The 24,418-nt window shown below is 49.1% G+C and overlaps 1 long non-coding RNA gene across 1 annotated transcript, besides 1 other annotated feature; it reads right to left on the reverse strand.

The window, feature by feature from the left end:
* Positions 1–410: 410 nt before the first annotated feature.
* LOC124903395 (uncharacterized) lies at positions 411–12,524 on the reverse strand. Its single transcript, XR_007064361.1, has 2 exons — positions 12,488–12,524; positions 411–2,446 (listed from the first exon to the last, which is right to left on the reverse strand). It is a non-coding gene; the product is annotated as an uncharacterized LOC124903395 (long non-coding RNA).
* Positions 2,544–2,744: a silencer, noted in NCBI's record as "peak2256 fragment used in MPRA reporter construct". NCBI's record gives its function as "represses an SCP1 promoter by STARR-seq MPRAs in K562 erythroleukemia cells {active_cell/tissue: K562}" and the evidence as "EXISTENCE:reporter gene assay evidence [ECO:0000049][PMID:32103011]".
* Positions 12,525–24,418: the final 11,894 nt, after the last annotated feature.

The following is a 24,418-nucleotide window of genomic DNA, read 5'->3' on the forward strand; positions in this document are numbered from 1 at the left end:
CCCTCTTTGCCTATGGGGTAGCCCGGCCCAGCAGGTGCAGTCTTGGAGCTATAACACCACTGAAGCTGTGACACTGCAGCTTCGATAAAGCTGTTTTCTTCTGCCTCTGGCTTGCCCTTGAATTCTTTCCTGGGCAAAGCCAAGAACCCTCTCAGGCTGAGCCCCACTTTGCGGCTTGCCTGTCCTGCATCACCAGCATAGTTGTCCATAGCAAACTCTTGCTCTAAAAAGTGCTCAAGTTTGAGAGGGAAAGGGTGCTACAAAGGCTACAAATGACATTAGTAGAGGCTGGATGTGGTGGTGCGCACCTGTGGTCCCAGCTACTCAGGAGGCTGAGGTGGGAGGATCGCTTGAGCCTGGTTGGTTGAGGCTGCAGTGAGCCATGATTGCACAACTAGACTTCAGCCTGGTAACAGAGCTAGACCTCATCTTTTAATTCATTAATTACAGGATATTATTAGAACATCTGACAACATTGGAATACAGATGGCATATCATGTAAAAATACTTCTTATTAATACTAATGGAGATGTATGAGGTTGATGACTGTGTTGAGGTTATGTAAGAGAATACTCCTGTTCTTACAACACAAATGATACAGCAAATGGGATAGAATAATAGGTAAATCTGAGCAATGGGTATATGGCTATTCCTTGCACTCTTTTTGCTTTTGTGACTTTGTCTAAGTTTGAAATCATTTCCAGATAAAAAGTCTAAAAAGTAGAAGTCAAGTGCTCCAGGTAGGATGATAAATTACACGGTGAGCCAGCACAGGGGCCTCTCCAGCAACCTCAGATGACAAAATCCAGGTGACAAACGCTGATGAAGACAAAACTCAAGGGGGTAGGAACCACAGCAAAGGCTGGGGACAAGCTCTGGAATCATCTGAATGTTAAACCGGGTGACAGTGACAATGGAAACCACGGTGTGAGGAACAGAAGTTAAATGTTACAAACTTTGATCACGTCCAAAAAATAATAACGTTAGAAAGCATGGAGGGGTTGGGAGTAAAAATGTAACTTGGAACCCGGAACATCTGGTTTACCAACGTGGAGTTCCCTTCGTTCGCAAGCTCTTTCACGGTAGCTTTTAGCAGGTCTTCCAGTGCTTGAGTCTCTGTGAGGTGAAACCTTTATTTCAAGTGTTTCCTTCGGCTTCACCTTGGTTTGTTCTTGTGAAACTCAAACACAGGAGATGCTCTTTCTGATAAACGATGCCCGTGACTAACATTATTTCTACTCCTGTCCCTCTTTCCAGTTCTACTGGACCCTTGGAGGAAAGTTGTCCTTTGTGAGATTGAACAAAGTTGGTTATCTGGAAGGAGAGTTTGGAGCATGCTTTTGACTTCCTCTTGGTCTCCTATGTTACTCAGTTTTTAAATATGAGGCCGGACCTTTCTTACAAAACAAAACCATGATTCTTCTTTTTAAAGGGGAGGAAGGGGCTTAGCACCCCATGCCGCCTGCCTGAGATGTGGGGGCCATGATGCTGCTGAACGTCCCTCGGTCTCCAGGGCTTTCCCACACAACCGTGGAGGAGATCCCTGCCGTGTGGTCACCTGGGTTGCTGCCCCGATGTGGAGCGGTCCAACCCTGCCCGGGCCTAATCAGCAGAATGACAGCCAGGCATGGCTTTCTGCATCTTGAGGGAATGCATGTGGGCAGCAGGACCAACTCACATTTCACCTCCAGAGGAAATGAGATGCATGTTTTCCAAACCCTGGGATTCCAAACACAGACCTGTGAATGGCTTTCGTTGATGTGAAGTCTTCACCTTTCATGCACACGACTTCATGAGGGCTGCTCCCCATTCTCCAGAGCTGCGTGCATGTTGCTGACAGTTTTTTAAGCTGACTTTATTTTTAGAACAGTTTTGACAGGAATATTGAGAAGATGTCACAGAGTCCCCATATAGCCCTCACACAGCTTCCCTTATTATTAAAATTTTACATTAGTGCTGTGCATCTGCCACCACTGATGAACCAGTATTGAAACACAAGTATTGGCTAAAGGCCCTGTTCTACATGGTGCATTCAGATTTCCCTGATTCTTCCCTAATGTCCTTGCCCTGTCCCAGGAAGGGCCCGTCCAGGACACCACATGACATTTGGTCGGCATGTCTCCTTAGGTGCCTCTCGGCTGTGACAGTTTCTCCAACTTTCCTTGTTTTTGATGGCCTTGACAGTTTTTAGGAGTACCAGTCAGAAATTCTGCAGGATGCCCCACTCTTGGAACGTGCTATTTTTCTCATGAGTGACTGGTGTTATGCGCCAGGGGAAAGAAAGCGCGGCGGCAGCACTCCACTGGCGTCACATCCTACCCAGGGCGCGTGCTCTCAACAAGGCTGTCCTTGCTGACATTGACCTTGGCCCCCGGCTGAGGTCGTGCTGTCAGTCTTCTCCGCTGTGAAGTCACTGTGGGGTCCTAATTAGGGAAAAGGAGTCAGGCTGCAGGGAGCAGGGGAAGCAAAAAGAAGCAGCAGAAGAGGTATAAGTCTGCCTTTCTTCACGGTGCAGGACACACAGCCCTCCTGCACAGATAACTCACAATCTTCCTGCACCCAGCTATCACCAGACCCTCAGCTGATAGAAAAATGCAAGGTAGCTCCCTGCAACCCTGGCGTTATCAGTACCGCACGCAGCCCTCTGCAGCCCAAGAACCATCCTATAAAACCTCCAGCAAGCCTTTGAACCCCAGCAGTCAGCTCCTCTTCTGCTGAGTCCGCCTGTTTCCTCCTCGCAACGTATTTTCCTATTTTCTCTAATAAATCTGCCCTTCTTTATCTACAACTGTCTTGGGAAATTCTTTGATGCTCCCCCTACCCCGGACCACCACCACCCAGATAGTCATCACCCCCCTCAACAGTTATCACCTGCCTTCCATACCACACTCTTGGGAAGGAAGTCAAGGTGCACAGCCCACACCTGAGGAGGGGGACTCGCGGTCCCCTCCTTGAGGGCAAGGTATCTGCGTAAATTATTTGGAATCCTTTGGCAATGGTGATTTGTCTCTTCTTTCCCATGTAGTTTATTCAGTCACTGATGTCTGTCAGCACTGACTCATGGACACCTGTGTCATATTTTGGGTCATGACTCAACCCTACTTTATTTTGTTGCTCAAGTTGTTCTGGCTTTGGCCATTGGGAGCTCTTCCAGTTGGCTCCTGTGTCCCTTTAAGGTAGGATTTGGAGATTTTTTTTAGTACTTCCTTTCTATAGATTTATCTTGTATATTTCTTGCCCCAGTCCCAGAATCAGCCATTTCTCTGAGGAGCCCTGTTTCTTTTTATTGGAGAACAGTATTAGAAGCCAAGATCTGAGCACTAGGTGTGTTTATTGCTACTGGAATATGATTGCTTCTAGGCCGTCTCAGATGACAGAGGAGAGGTATATGTATACTAATTAACGCACATACGCATATCTATAAATATTTCTATATGTAATCGTTTGTATCTGTATTATGCTAAACATGAGTTTATACTGATACCTTCCACTCAAATTCAATAATGCATGAACCATTCTAGTCTCATCCCCTGCTTTATCTGTAAATCCTCAGAGTGAGAAGCCTGACTCCCACTACTCATGATCCATTTACTGAATCACTCAATTCCGGCCGGGCACGGTGGCTCACACCTGTAATCCCAGCACTTTGGGAGGCCGAGGTGGGCGGATCACGAGGTCAGGAGATTGAGACCATCCTGGCTAACACGGTGAAACCCCATCTGTACTAAAAATACAAAAAATTAGCCAGGCATGGTGGCGGGCACCTGTAGTCCCAGCTACTCAGGAGGCTGAGGCATGAGAATGGCATGAACCTGGGAGGAAGAGCTTGCAGCGAGCCGAGATTGTGCCGCTGCAGTCCAGCCTGGGTGACAGAGTGAGACTCTGTCTCAAAAAAAAAAAAAAAAAAAGAATCACTCAATTCCAGTGCACATGAGCTGTGGGATCAGATTGTGAATCTGTACTTCCATGGGAAGCACCATAAGCTAGAGTGCAGTGCTTATGCTCAGTTCCCTTTTGCCTTTGGTCTTACCCACTCCACTCATTTATGCAGTACCCTTAGGGCAGCACCTGCTCTCCCATTGTCTCTTCAGTGAGGTAATTTTACACATTTGTAATACAGTTGGATTCTCTGGTCACAGTCAGTATTCCCTCCTGGGATCCCTTGACCTCCTAAATAATTTTTTTTTATTTGTATACATTAAGAGTTCCTCTGGGCTATAAAGTTCTATAGGTTTTGACAAATGCCTGTCAAATATCCATTATTACAGTGCAGTTTTACTGTCTGTGTCCCATATATTCATCCCTCCCTCCCACCAACCACTGGAAACCACTGGATGTTTTACTGTCTTTGTGGATGTCTTTTTCAGAATGTCATATATTTGGAATCATACGTAGGTAGCATTTTCTTTTTTTTTTTTTTTCTAGGCAGAGTCTTACTCTGTCGCCCAGGCTGGAGTACAGTGCCGTGATCTCAGCTCACTGCAACCTCTGCCTCCTGGGTACAAGCAATTCTCCTGCCTCAGCCTCCTGAGTAGCTGGGATTACAGGCACATGCCACCACGTTTGGCTAATTTTTGTATTTTTAGTAGATATGGGGTTTCACTGTGTTAGCCAGGAATGGTCTTGATCTCCTGACCTCGTGATCCACCCACCTCGGCCTCCCAAAGTGCTGGGATTACAGGCGTGAGCCACCGCTCCCAGCCGTAGGTGACATTTTCTGACTGGCTTCTTTCACTTAGCAATACACATCTAAGATTCCTCCAGGTCTTTTTGTGGCTTGATAGGTGGGTTTTTAATCACCAAATATTCCATTGTATGGGTGTACAAAGTCTATCTGTTCACCTATTGAAGGACATCTTGGTTGCTTTTCGTTTTGAGTGACTGTGAGAAAGCTGCTATAAACATTCATGTGCAAGTTTTTGTGTCGACATACGTTTTTAAATCAGTTGGATAAATTCCAAGGAGTGCAATTGCTAGATCTTATGGTAAGAGTTTATTTACTTTGTAAGAAACTGCTGAACTGTCTTCCAAAGTGGCTGTACCATTTAACACCCCAGCAGCAGGGAATGGCCAGGCCTGGTGCCCTGACTGCTCACCAACTTTAGGTGCCATCAGCTTCTTTTCTTTTTTTCTTTCCTTTTTTGTTTTCACTTTCACCATTCTAATCTGTGTGTAGAGGCATCTCATTGTTTTAATTTGCAATTCCATAATAACAAATGGTTTCAAATATCTTTTTCATATGCTTATTTGCCATCTGTATCTTTCTGGTGAGCTGTCTGTTCAGATCTTTTTCCCATTGTTAATCAGAATGTTTGTTTTCTTATTGCTGAGTATTGAGGTTTCTTTATATATTTTGGACAACAATTGAAAGATTAAATATACAAATGGACAGACCTTATAGAAATAGAACTCTGACCAATAAGTTGCAGGAAGCAGCCCTGGAAACTAACCCATTATCTATAGTAACCAGCCCAGGAAGCCAGCCTGCTATACCTCAGACTTGTAAGATGTCAGATCGCTATCTCTACCAACAGTCCAGGAAGCCAAACAATAGCCTTTGCAACAATCAGCCCCAAATGGCCAGGACTTGACTTATAACTGACTCCGTCCCATTTTTTTGTTCCCACTTCCAACTTAGGATCAACCAAAGGAAGTCAAATGTGCTCCCCTAACCAATCACATAGGAGCCCCACTTCTAGATAGCTACCCCAACTTCTCCAGGTCAATAGCCTCCAATCGGGGCACCACTGAGGCTTGCCATTTTCAATGGTGTCTTTCACAGAACAAAAGTTTTTAATTTTAATGAAATCTAACATCAATATTTTCTTTCTTGGGTCATGCCTTTCGTATTGTACCTAAAAACTCATTGCCAAACCCAAAATCACTTTGATTCTTTCCATGTTATCTTCTAAGATATTATAGTTTTGCAATTTATATTTAGGTCTATGATCCATTTTGAGTTTATTTTTGTGAAGAGTATAATATCTGTGTCAAGATTCATCTTTTTGCATGAGAATGTCCAATGGTTCCAGCACTATTTGTTGAAAAGACTATCCTTTCTTCACTGTATTGTATTCACGCTTACATCAAAGATCAGTTGACTACACTTGGGTAAGTCAGTTTCTAAGATCTGTATTCTGTTCCACTTATACACTTTATACATTGTTGGATTCAATTAGCTAATTTTTTTTTTTTTTGAGACAGTGTTCTCTCTCTGTCGCCCGGGCTGGACTGCAGTGGTGCAATCTCGGCTCACTGCAACCTCCACCTCCTGGGTTCATGCCATTCTCCTGCCTCAGCCTCCTGAGTAGCTGGGACTACAGGCGCCTGCCACCACTCCCGGCTAATTTTTATTTATTTATTTATTTTAGTAGAGACAGGGTTTCACCACATTAGCCAGGATGGTCTCGATCTCCTGACCTTGTGATCTGCCCACCTTGGCCTCCCAAAGTGCAGGGATTACAGGCGTGAGCCACCGTGCCTGGCCTCAATTAGCTAATATTTTGTTGAGAATTTTTGCATCTATTTCATGAAACATATTGGTCTGCAGTTTTCCTTTCTCATAATGCATTTATCTAGTTTTGCTATTAGGGCAATCCTAGCCTCATAAAAAGAATTAGGAAGTATTCCCTCTGCTTCTCTTTTCTGGAGATATTTTAGAGAATTGGTACCATTTCTTCCTTAAATGACTGGTAGATTTCACCAGTGAAACCGTCTGAATCTGGTGCTATTTTTCCAGAAAGTTATTAACCATGGATTCAATTTCTGTAATACACATGTGCCTATTAAGATTACCTCTTTCTTCTTGTGTGAGTTTTGGTAGTTTGTGTCTTTCAAGAAATCGGTTCATTTCATCTAAGTTATCAAACTTGTGGATATAGAGTTATTAATAGTATTACTTTATTATCTTTGAATGTCCATGGGATCAGTAGTGAAGTCAGTCCGGCTCAGACATCCACAGAATGAACAGATTATGACCCTCCGCTGGGCCTGGGTCCAGAGGTTTTGGGCATTGGCCTCAGGGGATTTGAGACCACATTTGAAAACTTTGCATGGATTGCTGAGATGTAGTCCGAACTTGCTGTGTCACTGGGTTTATTTCCAACCTCTGGCCTCCCCATCTTTAACTGGCTTATGGTATATGGTATAAGTTTGGGTAAGCATCTTCTTTTTGAGACAGGGTCTCACTTTGTTACCCAGGCTGGAGTACAGTGCTACAATCTCAGCTCACTGCAGCCTTGACTTCCCGAGTTCAAGCAATCCTCCTGCCTCAGCCCCTCCAAGTAGCTGGGACTACAGGGATGTGCCACCATGCCCAGTTAATTTTTGTATTTTTTGTAGAGGCAGGGTTTCTTCATGTTGCCCAGGCTGGTCTTAAACTCCTGAGCTCAAGAAATCCACCCGCCTCAGCCTCCCAAAAATGCTGGGATTACAGGTGTGAGCCACCATGCCCAGCCCAATCTTGCCTTTCAGTTTTACCCAGGTGAAGTGGACTATTGAGTTCTGGGGTCCCAGTAGTTGTCTATTTTGAAGCAGACATGTTCTCAGGATTGGAGACTGCAGCCCAAAGCATGGAGATCTGGGGCCTTTGGGCAGAGATGGGAGGGCTTGTCTGTGCCCACACACAGCTGTGGGGCTCAGAGGGGACAGTTGTACTTCACTAGGGTCACTGGCTCACACAGCACAATGTGGACATAAAAGTCCAGGATACAAGGCAGGCACACCTGATGGGGAGCAATTGGAGCACGGAGGCAAGGTTCACAAACTTGTCTGCCTAGAGCAACTGCAGAAAAGTACTGACACCTGGGCCCCATAACCCATGTCAGAGATGCTCACTCAGTTGGCTTGGGGTACAGCCCCATGTTCAGGTGCCCTTGAGCAAGGGCCAAACACAGGCATTGACTGCACTTTGGAGTAGGAAGAATGAAGTAGATGAGCAGAGGTGGGGGACCTTGTCGAGGGATCCCTCCTCAGGAGGCCAAGGTCTTCATCCACCAAGTGACAATGCTGCCTTCGCCTGCGACTTGGAACACTGACAACTCCTCACAGGAGAAGCTGGCGGAGCCTTGTGCAGACCATTCCAGTCCCATGAGGTCATCCTCATACGTACTAACAAGCTAAAGAGACCAGACAAGCCCGATACCTCCCACTCAGTCTTGAAAACGTTGATGCCTTAAACCTCCCACTAGACATTAAAGGAAGCTTCTGCCTGGGGCCCTGCATGAGAAGGGAGGTGAGCCATTGGATGTCATCACTGTCAGTCATCCAGGGTACAAGAGGAGCCTCAACTGGTGTTTGCACAGGACTTGACTACAGAGGCATAGGTTTTTGCCTTTTCCTCCCTGGAGTCTATAGCTTGGCTTCAATCCCAGGTAAATGTCAGAAGGAACCTGGAAAAACTTCTAGAATGCCTAAGTGCAGCCAAGTAAACAGAAACAGGTTTAAGAAAAATGAACAAAATGTATTGGCTTGTCTAATTGAAAAGTCCAACAGAAGAGTGGCTGCAGGCTCGGCTGAATCAAGGTGCTCCACGATCAGCATCCATCTGATCCCCCCCACCCATGCTTTTCTTTCCTCTGCACTGGCCACTTTCTCTCACAGGCTTTCCATTCACCGGAGGAAATTGTTTCCAGCATTGGACTCATGTCTTTCCAGTTCAGGAACCTCAAAGAGAAGGAAGTCTATAAACCACATCCTGCCTTTCATTTTTGGACTCTTTTCTGTTCCATTGACCTATTTGTCTATCTTCATAGCGATAAGACATTATTTTTATTAATGTAGGTTTATAATAAGTTGAAATTGGATAGTATTAATTCTACAACTTTCTTTTTTTCTCCAAGTTGTCTTGCCTATTACAAGTTCTTTGCATTTCCATATGAATATTAGAATCAACTTATTAATTCTTACAAAAATGCCTAATGGGATTTTGATTGGGATTGAAATGAATCTATACATCAGTCCAGGGAGAATTGACATCTTAACAATTTTCAGTCTTCTGATGTATAAATATAGTATAACCATTCATTTATTTAGATCTTTTTTAGTTTCTTTCAGCAAAGCATTGCAGTGGGTTTTTTGTTTTGTTTTGTTTTCTGTTTTTGTTTTTGTTTTTGTTTTGAAATGGAGTTTCGCTTTTGTTGCCCAGGCTGGAGTGCAATGGCCCAGTCTCAGCTCATTGCAACCTCCACCTCCCGGGTTCAAGCAATTCTCCTATCTCAGCCTCCAAAGCAGCTGGGATTACAGGCTTCCGCCACCATGCCTGGTTAATTTTTGCATTTTTCGTAGAGATGGGGTTTCCCCATGTTGGTGAGGCTGGTCTCAAACTCCTGACCTCAGGCAACCTGCCCGCCTCAGCCTCCCAAAGTGCTGGGATTACAGGCGTGAGCCACTACGCCCAGCCAGCATTGCAGTTTTTAGTGTACAGGTCTCTCATATATCTTGTCAGATTTATCTCAAAATATTTATTTTATATGTTTATATTATAAATGGGTTTGTTTTGTTTTGTTTTGTTTTGTTTTTTTGAGAGAGAGAGTCTCACTCTATAGCCCGGGCTGGAGTGCAGTGGCTAATCTCAGCTCACTGCAAGCTTCACCTCCCGAGTTCACGCCATTCTCCTGCCTCAGCCTCCCAAGTAGCTGAGACTACAGGCGCCCACCACCATGCCCAGCAAATTTTTTGTATTTTTAGTAGAGACGGAGTTTCACCGTGTTAGCCAGGATGGTCTCGATTTCCTGACCTCGTGATCCACCCACCTTGGCCTCCCAAAGTGCTGGGATTACAGGCGTGAGCCACCGCACCTGGCCTATACATGGTATTTTTAATTTTTATTTTCTGATTGTTTGCTAATAGCACATGGCAAACAATAGATTTTTGTTGATTGATCTTGTATCCTTTCACTTTGCTGAACTCGCTTTTTTTTTTTTTTTTTTTTGAGACGGAGTCCCGCTCTTTAGCCCAGGCCGGATTGCAGTGGCACAATCTTGGCTCACTGCAAGCTCCGCCTCCCAGGTTCACGCCATTCTCCTGCCTCAACCTCCCGAGTAGCTGGGACTACAGGCGCCTGCCACCGCGCCCGGCTAATTTTTTGTATTTTTAGTAGAGACGGGGTTTCACTGTGTTAGCCAAGATGGTCTCGATCTCCTGACCTTGTGATCCGCCCGCCTCGGCCTCCCAAAGTGCTGGGATTACAGGCGTGAGCCACCGCGCCCAGCCAGAACTCGCTTATTAATTAAAATATTTTTAAGGATTCCATTACACTTTGTATATAGATGATGATGTTGTCTGCAAGTAAAAACAGCTTTATTGCTCCCTTTCCAGTATGGACGCCCTTTATTTCTTTTTCTTGCCGTATTGCACAGACTAGAACCTGTACAATATTGAGTAGAAGTGATGAAAGAGAACACCCTTGTCTTGTTCCCAGTCTTAGGGAAAGAGCATTGAAGCTTTTACATTAAGCGTCACGTTCACTGTAGGGTTTTTACAGATGCCTTTTGTCAGATTCAGAAAGTTTCCTGCTATTCCTACTTTGTTGAGAGTTTTTATTATTAAAGTATATTGAATTTTTTATGTTTCTGCATTTTTGGCTTCGTCATATGATTTTTCATGGTTTTATTAATATGATAAATTACATTGATTGATTTTCTGATATTAAGCTATACCTGCATTCCTGACTTAAATCCCACTTGGTTGTACTGTCTTTCTTTAACTAAACTATTGTTAGGTTCATTTTGTTAAAATGTGTTTAGAATATTTTCACCTATGTTCATGAGGGATATTTGCTGTAATTTTCTTTTATTTTAATGTCTTGGTTTTGGTATCATAGTATGATGGCCTCCTGGAAGGAGTATTCCCTCCTCTTCAGTTTTCTGAAAATGTTTGTGTGGATTTGGTATCATTTCTTCCATAAATGTTTGGCATAATTTGCTAGTGAAGCCATCTAGGTGTGAGGTTTTCTTTGGGGAAGAATTTAACAGTAAATTCAACTTTTGGAATAGATATAGGGCCAAATTATCTGTTTCTTAAGTCAACTCTGGTAGTTTGTATCTTTTGAGTAATTTGTTCATTTTATTTAAGTTGTCAAATACACTGGTATAAAGTCCATAATATGTGCCTTTACCATCCTTTTAATATTTGCAAAATAAATTTGCAGTGATGTCACCTTTCTCCTTCCTGATACTGGTAACTTGTGTCTTCTCTTCTTTTTTCTTGATGAATATAGCCACAGGTTTATCAACTTTATTAAGCTTCTGAATAACTAGCTTCTGGTTTCATTGATTTTCTCTATTATTATTGCATTTTATTATTTTCTACTTCATTGATTTCTACTCTGATCTTTATTGTTTTCTTTTTCTGCTCCTCAAATTTAAGTTGCTCTTCTTTTTCTGGCCTTTAAGGCGCAAGATGAGACCATTGATTGAAGTTCTTTCTTTTTTCATAATGGAAGCATTTTTAAGGCTAAAAATTTCCCTCTAAGTACTGCTCTAATGGCATCCCACAAATTCTAATATGTTTTCATTTTAGTTAAATATAAATACTTCCTAAATTATATTTTAATTTATTTTTTGACCATTGATTATTTATAAATGTGTTATTTAATTAAGTATTTAAGGTTTTTACAGATTTCCTTTAGTTATTGATTTCTAATTTCAATCCACTGTGGTCAGAGAAAACACTTTTGTATAGTTTGAATGCTTTTTAATGTACTGAGACTTATGGCCCATAATACAGTGTATCTTGGTAAATGTTCTGTGTGCACTTAAGAAGAATGTATATTCTGCTCTTGTGTGGAGTGTCTTATAAATGACAATTGGGTCAAATTGATTGACAGTGTTCAAATCTATTTTTCATTAGTTTTTCCTACTTGTTCTATCAATTATTGAAAGAAGACTGTAATGTTCGTTTGTCTATTTGTCCTCGTAGTTCTATCAGTATTTGTTTCAGGTGTTTTGAAACTCTATTGTTAGGTTCATCAACGTTTATGATTGATAACTCTTCTTGATTAACTGACATCTTGGTCATTATGGAAATGACCTTCTTTATACCCCAACAATATTGTTTGTTCTGAAATCTACTTGGATATTGGTATAACCATACCAATTTTCTTTTAACTAATGTTAGTATAGTACATATTTTCTCATACCTTTACTTTAAATGTATATGTGTCTTTACAGCTAATATTTGTTTCTTATAGGCAGCATATAGTTAGGTCTTGCTTTTTTATCCAATGTTAAAATCCTTATCTTTTAATTTGGGTGTATAGGCCATTTTTACTTAATATGAATGTTGATATGATCTATTAAATTCTATTTGTCCCAATTTGATTTATAAGGCAGGATTTGAACAGATATTTAACCAAAGATGATATCTGAATGGCCAGTGAGCATGTTGGAGGATTCTCAACTTATTTTTCCATTACAAAAATGCAAATTAAAACTACAATGACATACAGCTGCACACTACTTAGAGGGGCTAAAGTGGCCGCCCTCACCTGGTGCTGGTGAGAATGTGGATGGACTAGGGCTCTCATTCACTGCTGGTAAGAATGTAAAACAGTGCAAGAACTTCGGAAAATAGTTTGGCAGGTTTTTTTAAAAGTTAAACATGCACCTGCCATATGACCCAGCCATTCCACTCATAGGTATTTTTACCCAAGAGAAAGGAGGTTTTTCTATACATATATCTGTATATCGATGTTACATCAACTTCATCTGAAATTGTCCAAACCTGGAAACAACTAAAACGCCCACCGACAGATGAAGAGAGAAATTGCTCCTCTATCCATACAGTGGAACATACTCAGCAACAGACGGATGAACTGTTGATACGTGAGACAACATGGAGAAATCTCAAAATAGTTATTCTGAGTGAAAAAACAGACAAAAAAGGGAGTACATATTTCATGACTCTATGTGTGTAAAATTCTAGAACACGCAAACTAATCCGTAGTGACAGAAAGCAGATCCATGGTTGCCTGGGGAGATGAAGCCACAGGAGATAGGGAGGAAGGAGAAAGGGAGTTCGAAAGCCAAGAAGAGGCTTTAGGAGCGGGGATTTGTACATCTTGATTGTGGTGACGCTTCACAAATGTATATATATGTCAAAACGTATCAAATTGTCCATTTTTAATATGTGTCACTAATTGTATGCCAATTACACCCCAAAAAAGCTGTTTTTCAAAAATCCAACTTAAACTTAGAATTTACCACCAAAAGAATACAAATAAGGACTAGGCCTTCCAAAACACTAGAGAAAAAATAAAATAGTAAAGAAAACAGCTCACAAAGCCAAAGATAGGGAAAGAAAAAGGATAACAAAGCATAAATAACAGATGTATCAACAAACATGTCTGTTTTGACAATAAACACTATTTAAAGAAAACCATCCAAATATACACTCCTCACAAAGGGTACACGTAAAATAAAATACTTAAATGTTAAAAAGAAAAGGAAAGCAAATATATGTTAGGCAAGCATAAACAATAAGAAAGAGAGTTGGTAAAATGAGTATCAGATAAAGCCAAAAAGCACTAAAAGAGACAAAGAGTAATTTGATTCTGAGGAACAATTAAAGACCCAATGAGGGCACAGCAACGATTAACCTTTAAGCAGGGAATAATTTATCATCCAAATCTACAAAGCAAAAACTGTAAGACATACAACTGGAAATTAGCAACAAAAAGGCAAATGTTAGCCCCAAGGATCAAGCTATATAAAGGCACACTTTGTTTAATTGTGTCCATTTTTAATTTGAATGGTGAGATTGTTTTGAATGAGTGGGAGAAAATTTACATCCTCCAACAGCGACTGTGAGACACAGCTTGAGGAGTGCATAGGGAACCCTTAGCCCTCCCTCCCCACCTGCCCAGCCCTACTTTGGGCCACGAGGAGAGGAGGCAGAGCAGAGACTGTCTTCAGCCATGAGAGTGATGGTGTGTGAGAGACTATTCCTTCTCCTAGTGGCAAACCCAGCTCAGAGCTGGCTCTTCTTTCTCCCTAGAGCCCAGGTCTCCAGCCCAAGGAACCGCCTCACCTTGTCATCCCAGGAGGGTTGGTGCCCACTTATCTGCAGCTTCCTGACCCAAATAGCCAGACCTTCCACAGGTTTGCCTACAAGAGGGCTAGTGCGTCCTGCAACTCAGATGCTTTTCCATCAAAATAAATGCCCATATAGAAGGAGTCAAGAATAAATACCCACATCCACCATCGCAGTGTGGTAAGAACATTACAAGGACACTGATGAGAATGAAGCCGGACATCACTGAGCCCCACCGTCCTGTGTCATGTTGGCTAAGGCCCCGTGCTCCGTCCTGTATGTAAGAAGCCAGCCGGGTGCCTCTCAGGGTTCTGGGCATCCCTGGGGGGTTACGCCCTGTGCTCACTCTGGCTGGAGGCCCCGACTCCAGCAGAGGCCACTCGCCCCTTCCTCGGCTCCTGCTGCCGCTCTCTTCTCCTGAGTCCATGAAAACACTGACGCCAAGTTACATCCTGTTCCTTATTTGTCCCAACACTCCTCCAAGAGCCCAAACTACTGTGATCTCAGGAGCTGGAAAAAGCTTGCCGCTCAGAAAGGCAAACACCTTGCACATCTTCCACCAGGACACCTGAAGTCAAGCTGCTCCCCACAAGAGGCACACCAGTGCAGATGGTTAAACGACAACTTCTGCACCCACTCCTCAAAGAAGTCCATAATCTCTTGCCTCCTCTTGGTCCTGGGAGCCATGTGCTCTCTGCACTCTTGCCTTGAGCCCAGTCCCAGCTCTGGGAGGCATATGCTCCTGGCCATCACCCCTAATCAAATGGGGAAACTGAGGCTGGGAGAGGATAAGGGACTCAGCCAAGATTGTAACCCTACTAGGTTTGTAGCCCACTGTGCAGCGCGTCAATACACAGATACAGTGTATTGCACTGGGTTGCAGCAGGGGAAGACTTTAGTAATTGTAGGGCAGCCGAATGAGGAGATGAGAGGAAACCTCAAATCCACCTGCCCAGGAAGTTTGGGATGGGCTCTTAAGGGGTCTGGGCAGGTGATGGGCTAAAGTGTGGGGATTGCTGACTGGTGGAGAAGTGTGGAGGATGAAGAAACCGCATTCCTGTACTTTACTGCTTCCTTGGTCGGGGGTCTTCATACCTGTTGGCCTCAGCCGTGCTACTAGAATTCAGGATCTGAAAAACACCTTAAGCAATTCTTGAGTAAAAAGACCCAGGGCCAGAGAGTCTCTCTGGTGGAAGAACGGGGCAGCAGGTGCTCAGCCTGCCGAGGGACTCTCTGTGCATTAGAGCTGCAGGGGACTGGGTGGAAGTGGCCCTGCACACCCGGGTCGGTGCCTCGCTATAACTCTGCCTGAAGCCTGGCTTGGATTGTCGTTAACCCTGTGAGGTGATTCAGTGTGGAGTCAGGATCCAATATGGGTTTATTTCACATGCTAACACCAAATGAGAGCCAGATATTTGAAAATGCAGATTTCCAAGCTTCTCGGGAGCACCCTCAAGTAGGTCAGCGGCTGCTCCATCGGGCCCCACGTCGCTCAGGCTTAAGTAAAACGTGCCTGGCTTCAGGCAGACGAGTGAATGTGAGTGTGTCTGTGAGTGTGTATGTCTACGTCTGTCTGTCTGTGAGTGTGTCTCTGTGTCTGTGATGACTGTGTCTGTCAGTGTGTCTGTGTGAGATCGTCTATGAGTGTATGTGTCTGTGTGTGACTGTGTGTGAGCAAATGTCTCTGTGTGCCTGTGTGTGTCTGTGTAAGTGTGTCCCTGTGTGTCTGTAGTGTGTGTGTCTGAGTGTCTGTCTGAGAGTGTGTGTCTGTCTGTATGCCTGCAAGTGTGTGCGCGTGTCCCTCCATCTGTGTGTCTGTGAGCACCTGGGTCTGCATTTGAGACCCCTGCCCTCACCCTACAATCTCCCTGCTGCCACACCCCAAAGCTCCAGCACATTCCTGGAGGAATTAGAGAGACGATGCTGTGCCACTGCCCTCCCTTTGAAGTGCACCTGATGGGGACACAGGGTCTCTGCCATGATCCCCACTGGGGCCTTGCCCCTGACCGCACACACTGTCCCATCTCAGGAGGGTCTCACTGCTGCCCTTTCCTGGCTGTACTGATGGCCCAAGGGGATGCGGGAACCATCAAGACCGAGTCCCTCTGGAGGTGCCTCATCCCCGCACCGCCCGGCCCTCAGTGCACCCTCTATGGGGTAGCACTAAGCCATCCCCCAGGTTGCAGGAGGGAGATGAACTAATCTGAAACATTAAGTATGGCTTTGGAACCAACTTGGCTCTCCGGATGACAACTCCCTTGTTCCAGATGGTTCCTGTGTGCGCCCGCGTTCGTTAGCATGCTAATTTATTCTGACTCATTCCGGAGCTGGCGCGCGGGCTGGCGCACACCTCTATGCCAGCACGAGTCCCCGAGGCCCGCGATTCCCAGCTGGAGCGGCCCCCTCCCCGGGGGCTGTCACACACGCCGAGGGGAATAAAGGGAAGGGAACAGTTGGGGATGTGGCTTCAGTGGCAGCCCAGGCAGGCTATAATTTCAGCCCTGGCGCCCTGACATTCACAGCAAGCTCTCGCTCTGTGGCAGAATCCTCTCGGAAGGCAGCGCCACCCTCTGAGGACGTTCAGGCTGGGAGGTCCCGGGTGGATCTCCCGCTGCAGCTAAAACACCAGTCAGGCCCCCACAAGGAAACCCAGAGCAAGCAAACACCGAGGAAGAAGTCGCTCCCTCAAAGGCAGCGTCTGGGGGCTGGTAGGAGGCTCCCGGCTGCCGGCCCCACCCCTGGTTGTGAACTCTGTGACCAAGACAGCAGGGACCGAGGGCTACCCACACTCCACAAGCGGGAGGGATGGGAGCCGCCCGTCAGTGCCCTGCCCACCTCCGGGTGCCCGCCTTCCCTGGAAACATTCCCACCGTCTTCCTGCAGCTGAAGCAGCGGAATCACCCTGGGATGGCCTGGGGAGGAGCCCGCAGAACGACCCGCATGAGGACACTGAGCTGCAGGAAGCACACGCAGGGCTGGGGTCTCCGGACCGTGGGGCAGAACTTGGGGGGTCAGAGAGAACACACACATTCGAATCCCTAAATTCCTGGTTCAAGGGACAGACCAAACCCCAGGTGCTCGGTGGGACCACGGGAGAAGCCGGCTTAGCTCAAGAAGGCACAAGGGCAGTGGCCAAGTCCCACCCCCAGGCTGAGCCCTGCCAGACGCCCTTTACAATGTCAGCCTGGGAGTCTCTCCTGAGTCAGGGCAGCCATCCACAAAGAGTGGACCCCCTAGAAGTCTGGGGGGTGTCCTTGAATAACACTGTCATCCCCAAATCAGAGAGGGAGTTCAGGGGACCTGGGGATGAGGGGATTCAGGGGACCTGGGGATGAGGGAGTTCAGGGGACCTGGGGATGAGGGGGTTCAGGGGACCTGGGGATGAGGGGGTTCAGGGGACCTGGGGATGAGGGGGTTCAGGGGACCTGGGGATAAGTGGAGCTCTGCCCTTCAGCGGCGCCCGGAGGGCCCGCAACCCCATCCCCATGTCTTCCTCAAGCTCCTGAGGGCGTACTTGGAAAAGCACTTCATGAATTCCCACACTGGTCCCCTGACCCCAGGACTGAGGAGCAACACGGTGGGACCCGGCACTCTCCCTGCTGCCAAACCCCAAAGCTCCAGCACATTCCCGGAGGAATTAGAGAGACAGTGCCATGCCCCAAAGATTTGGAAATGCAGTCAGTTCTCCCTCTACCCGCAAGCACGGCTTCTGACGCGATGACACTGTAAATACAACTCGGAGCTGCACCCGGCAGCAGCTGCTGCTCCAGATGCAGGGTCCTCATGGGCATCAGCCAGGCACCTGGTTTTCCCTCCCGTCCAGGAAATCAGGAACCCTCCAGCCCTTGGGCTGGAGGGAGGCTGGGGCGTCTCCACCACCTGCTCTCAGGGACACCGCAGCACCCCTCTCTGTGACAGAGTTTGGTCCACAGAAGTGATGGCTGCAGCACTACCTGGGCCTCATGCTGGCCCATGCGGGGGGACTCACCATAGAACCAGAGACGGACACGGAGCACCTTACCTGCCAGAGGTGGGAGACAAGCCCCACTGGGTAGCACAGCTCTTGACACAGCCACGAAGGAGGGAGTGGCAGGCGAGGGAGAGGGGACAAAGCAAGACCAGGCCCTTCCTTCCACCCCTGATGACCGAGGGCATCACCGATGCCCAAGGGTTAGGCCGCTGGGAATTCCGGGCAGGCGGCTGCAGTGGGAGAGTTCCAGAAGAGAGCCCTCCCAGCGAGTAAGATCCTCACGTGAGAGAGAGCTCCTGGCTCATGTTGGGCCTGGGAGGCTGTAGACACCTGACAATGGGACACCAAATGACAAGGTGGCCCAGCTGCCCCATGTGAACTGGAGGTCCCCTGATCCACTAAGCCCTCGAGCTGGGCCACGCCCAAGATGCTCCTCCCTCACCAGGTGAACGCCACATGTGCCGGGCCAGGCCCATGTGCCCACAGGCCCTCAGGCACCCACGGCTACACCTGTGGCCTCATCTGTGGCTCCCGGGCTGGCTGATGGGTGGTCTGGAGGCTGGTGGCAAGAGGCATCATCCAGCAGCCAGGCCTGAGCAGGGCACAATGACAGTCACGTTTCCATGAAGTGGGAGTGATGTGAAGCCACAGTCCTGTGGGCCCCCAGGTGTGGCCAGAGGCTGGCCATGAGAAGGACCGAGCTGGTGACAAGGAGGAAGCTGTTGGTGGCAAGGCTCGTTGGAACAGACACGGGCTGTACACACATCTGCATCCAGGTGACCACTCAGGAAGACCCAGATGGGGAGGCTGTGAATGACCAGGTGACAAGACACCCCAGCAGGTGAGCCAGAACAGGGGCAAGGTGGCTCCGGGGCGGTGGGGGCTCGGCAGGGGCTCCGGGGCGGTGGGGGCTCAGCAGCACAGACTCCCCTCAGGGATGCCCCTGCTTGGGTCCATGTTGTCCGCAGCCACCACCCAGGGGACACTGCCAACTGCCTGGTGCAGGTTGGTTATGTTGGGTGGACAACAATCCATCCTCTCTAGGAAAGATGGCCATTCGGTCCCCAGCCCCTGGCCCCAGCCCAGCTTTCCAAATGTCTTATTCCCCAGCAGGATCCCCACAGAATGCCACTTCTGCCCCAGGAGCCGCTGCAGAGGGGAAGAAGGGAAGAGTGAGCAGGTGTCATGGGATGACCCGGTCTCATCCCAAACCCACCATGAGCCCCTGTGAACAGCTAGAAGAGTGCGGAAGATGAGGGGCCGCAGCCTTCTTCCCACCACAACAAGCCACCAACACAGAGGCTCCCCATGGCCTGAGTCCTGGGGTGTGAGGGCTGCACAGGACAGGGCCCTGCCCTGCCCCCACCCCAGCCCCAGCGTTCTCCCCAGCCCCACTCCCCACCCCTGCTCCAACATCCTCCCCAGCCCCACTCCCCACCCCAGCCCCAGCATTCTCCCCAGCCCCCTGCCCTGCCCCCACCCCTGCCCCAGCGTTCTTCCCAGCCCCCTGCCCTGCCCCCACCCCCGCCCCAGCGTTCTCCCCAGCCCCCTGCCCTGCCCCCACCCCCGCCCCAGCGTTCTCCCCAGCCCCCGCTCCCCACCTCTGCCCCAATGTCCTCCCCAGCCCCGCTTCCACCCCTCCCTCACCGGTCTCTGGTCTGTCCCTCCTGTCCCTCCCAGCCCCTCCCAGTTCGGCCCTTGGAGGTTCCACAAACGAGGTTGTCAAATGCCTGTCCAAAGCACGTGCCAATCAGGCCCAGAGGGTTTTACAGCCTCTGAGGAGGAGGAAGAGGAGTTGGGGAGCCATGCCTCCCCATCCAGGAAGACAATATTCCACCATCAAGGACACGACCCTGGGTATTTACAGATGGTAATGAGACTGTCCACTGCTTGAAGTTACCATCAATAAGCAGTGAAAACTGCTGAGTTTCATGCAATTCTCCCTGATTGCCTGGAAGGCATCATTATTTTAATAAAAAAACTCATCAGCCAGCCTACCCAGCGCTCAGCGTGTTAATTACAGAGGCTAGTGCCCCGCCTCCCTCTCTCAGCCCCAGCTTGACTCTTCTCCCCACAGCCTTTGATCCCAGGGAGTCGGGGCAGGTGGATGGTGCCGTCCAGTGGGGAGGAGTCCCAGCCCTGACCCCTCTCAGGTGCCCAGACCACCTCCCCACCCCACACAGCACAATCCTGGCACTGTCCTTTCCCTTCAACCACAAGGACTCACTGGGCCATGGGCACAGACCAACACCAGTCAAGCCCAAAATTCTATGTGGCCCCTAAAAGCAAGGGGACAAGGACAATGGGACCCCAAGAACAGCAGATTTCATGAAAAGGACCCAAGAAGCCAAGGCATGTCCAGCACAGCACGCAGACTGGGTCAGGCCTGTCTCCAGCTACATGGACAGGCGTGTCCAAACACATGCCACAACCCTGCAAAAAGCACAAAAGGAGGCACCACACACATTCGTCCTCATTGTGAATGCCTGCAGTGCGTCTGTCATCATGGCTGGGGGAACAGGCCCAGGCTTTTTTATGGTAAAAGAAGTGAATTGAAAGAGGAATTGTGTTTCCTCTCCGTAAAGATGATAGCACACCAGGATGTCCCCACCTAGGGGAGACCAATGACAGCCTTCCCATTATCTCCTGGGCCTTCTGGGGGCAGGACCTGCAGCCGCTGATTCTGCCCAGGCATCAGTGAATCCTCTTGAACATAAATGTATCTTGGGTCACCTTGCAGCCAGCAATGACCACACAGCACAGTTCTGGGCCACTGATGTAAGGAGCGGCCCTGGGTGGGTGCCCCAGGAAGTACTATAGAAGAATAAGACTCAGCCATCAGTCTTGCTTCCCTCTTTCACTCTCTTCTGTCCTTGGTCCTGACCCTTCTTCCTGCCTGGAACACGGATGTGATGCTGGAGGTGAAGCAGCCATCTTGCAACCATGAGGCTAAAAGCAGAAGGACAAAAGCTACCTTGCAGATGAATGAACAGAAAGACAGAAAGAGCCTGAGTCCCTGCTGGCACCATGGACCCCACACCAAATTTGGGTGCCTGCTGAACTCCAGACTTCTTGATACATAGAAATTGAAAACTCATTTGCCAAACCATGTTAACTTGGGTTTTATGTAGTGCAAAGTTGAATGTATTCCTAAGCAATGTACCCAAGAATAATTGTTACTAACAACAAAACCGAAGAAAGCCCCTTGTAGTGAGTGGAAGTGAATTCGTGTAACCGTGCAGCTCCCCAGCTCCTGGATCCTGTATCCCGCCTGCCCTGCAAAGTCAGGCATAGTGGTTGGACTTGGTTTGGCTGCTGGAATGGGAAAAGTTCCGTGTCACCTCCGGGAAGCCGCATTCAGCGGGCAGTGCTCAGCTCTCCACCTACTTCTATGTTCCTGTTTCAGAAAACCTGGGACAGGTGACACATGTTGATGGAGAAGTCAACGCTCAGCCCTCCCCAGGAGGGCAGGTGCCCTGGAGGCCTTAGAGGTGGTGTGGGGCCGGCAGTGTGGAGTTGCTGCAGCTGGGAGATGGCTTGTTACTGCCACACGGTGCAGCCGAGCTCAACGTGTCACAGAAAATAGCGGGGGAAAGGTTTAAATGGATCTTTATCTTGAAAAGTAAAACCTCAAAAATAGTCTGATATTGCACTGGATAGAGATTTGAGTTTTCACTGCCACCCTGCGCTGGTTGTTAGAATGCAAGGAGAATGCATTGTTTGAGTTTGTTATCTGTTCTCCCAGGAAAATGATTGGCCACGCTGCACGGGCGGCTGCATGTGAACCCCCCACGACAGTCACAGGCCCCTCGACACGGTGCTCAGACCATCTCCCTGGAAGCATCCTTCCCTCCACCACCCTTAGCAATCAGCTCGCCTTTGATTTTCACCTGGAATGACTCAGCGGGCACTGATCCGTCAGTGGCTTTGCAGGCACCTGCGCTGTCCCACCCATCATTCTCAGCTCCCGAAACCGCATCAGTCACAGGCAACTTAACTGCAGTCCCCGGTGACCGGCCACTATTGGGAGACTGACCAATAAGGACTGGAAGGGAATCAATGTTGGGGCAAGTTTGGATGAGGGGGTTGAGCAGGCTGCCTCCCTCCAGACATCCCCCAGGGGACCCCCTTTTCCTCTCACTGTTTGTGCTCCCAGCCTGCCTCTCTCTGGGCCTCCTCCCTTCCTTTTTCACCTGGACGCACCTCCTGGCCCTACAGAAAGAATGGAGGTCGGCACCCCATCTCCCAGGCCAAGGAGGGCAGCTCCCTGCAGCGATGTCGGGGTATGGAGGGCAGGGGCCGGGAGCAGGGGGCTTCACTCCAGGCTACAGCCAGTTCCCCCAAGTCGGGGTCAAAATTACAGCCTATCCCACGGCCCACCCATCCTCTGCCCTCCCTTATCCAGTCAAGGTCCCTATCCAGTCCAGGTGTGCAGGTGAGGGATTCCGAGCTGGGAAGGGCAGGCAGACAGTTCCTGCAGGCTCCCGCTCACATCCAGGGCTTTTTAGGGACCCTGCCCCAAAAGAGGTCCTTGAAGCCACTTGGAGAATGCCCAGCTGTGGATGTGTCCAGACAGCAGCCAAGGACGCTCAGGCCAGCGGGAGCCGCTGAGATCAGCCAGGCCCAGCCTAGCCCAGTGGACGGCTCCTGCTGCACCCTCCCTCCTGGGCTGGGCCTGCCAACTCTCACAACTCCCACTCCAGCCACGGCCAGACCTGAGATCCTCTCCTCCCTGAGGCTAAAACATCTACCACATTCGGCTGGTGGCTGCCCCAGCTCTGCCTCAGGTCCCTGACAGGCCGGCCCCCTGCTGCTGGCAGCCAGGCACTGGAGTGACACATCTGTCTGTGCCCACACCTCCTCCTGGGGTCTCAAGTCTTCCAGAAGGGGTCGCGAGTCTTCCAGGAGGTCCGCCCCAACCTGTGATGCTCCTGTTGTGGGCGGGGGAGCAGCTATGACGGTGGGGAGAATTGCCAGTGCAGGAAGGACCCACGGGTGCTGCTGTGAGGGTGGTTTTGGGGTGCCGCTGTGAGGGTGGTTTTGGGGTGCCGCTGTGAGGGTGGTTTTGGGATGCTGCTGTGAGGGTGGTTTTGGGGTGCCAAGTGACGGTGGTTTTGGGGTGCTGTTGTGAGGGTGGCTTTGCTTCCACCTGAATGCAGAGCTCGCCTCCTTCGGCTCTCCCTCCCCCCGGGTGAGCAGCCCAATCCCGGGGACCTGTGCTAGCCCCTGTCTCGTGGCCTGTTACTGCTGAGGACAGACCTGACGGCAGTCCCGGTAGGTCAGATCCCGGGGGCACCCGCGAGACCTGGGGCAGGAGGTGGGCAGGTGCCAACCTCGGGCACAACTCCAGTGCGCAGCGTCCATGCCCGGGTGGCTGCCGTGTTGTCCTGCTGTGGCTCAGCCTGTCCCCTTCGCAGGGAATTGGCTGTGGGAGATCTACTTTGCAATAAACCCGTCCATAAAAGTGAAATGTCGATTGAAGGCTCTGTCTCGTGGGGAATCGGTTTTGATGTCCCTGTGCATCTTGCAGAAGCAGATGCTGGGCCTCAGCAGCATCACAGGGAGCTGCGCCTGGCCAGGGAAAGTCTGGAACTGCCCAAAGAACTTCTGCTCACCAGACCTGGGCCCCAAGCAGCAGCCCTGGGTAACCTCCCTCTGGGAACCAGCGGGACAGAACCAGGGGGAAGGCTGGGGACGGGGAGGACAAGGGAGTGAAGGGGGCTGGAAGGACAGAGAGGGAAAGGAAACTTCTCACCCACCTCCACTCACCAGACGCCCTCCACTCATCTCTGCCAAACCTGGGCGATCTCACCTATGACATCTTGCAATGAGACAGGCGGCATCACCTATTTTATAGGAGCACCAGGTTAAGCCACTGGCCGAAGTACCCGGTAGGAGACAGGCTGTGTGCAGAGGCCAGGCGTGCGTCAGGCTAACTTCAGGAGCCTGGACTCAGGGTGGTGGGTAGGGCCAGACCACGGGAGGCACCTGGCACAAAACCCAAGGAAGCCCTCTCAGGGGGTGCCAGCCCCTCCCCGCACCCCACAGGGCCCAAGATCGTGTGCCTCCTCCTCTTGGCATCCTCCACGGATGATGCACCGGGCCTGGTGGAGAAGGCGTCTCTCTGCGGAAGCCACATCAGCAAAGGAACCAAGAAGGAAGGGGACCAAAATAACCAGCTGGCCACTGCCGGGGCAGGGACGCCCACAGCTGCTGACAGCCAGAAAAGAGAGACCAGCAGAAGGGGCACACGGCCGGGTGGGGGTCAGAGCAGCACCCCCGTGGGTCCCACCTCTAGCTACATCAACCAACGCCAGGCCAGGCAGGGGACTGAGGACAGTGGGCGTGGTGCCACCGCCACAGACCCTGGGCACACTCTGGGACAAACAGCCAGCCTCTGCAAAACACAAACTGCAC

The sequence above is a fragment of the Homo sapiens genome, chromosome 14, assembly GCF_000001405.40.
Source record: "Homo sapiens chromosome 14, GRCh38.p14 Primary Assembly".
Lineage (NCBI taxonomy): Eukaryota > Metazoa > Chordata > Mammalia > Primates > Hominidae > Homo > Homo sapiens.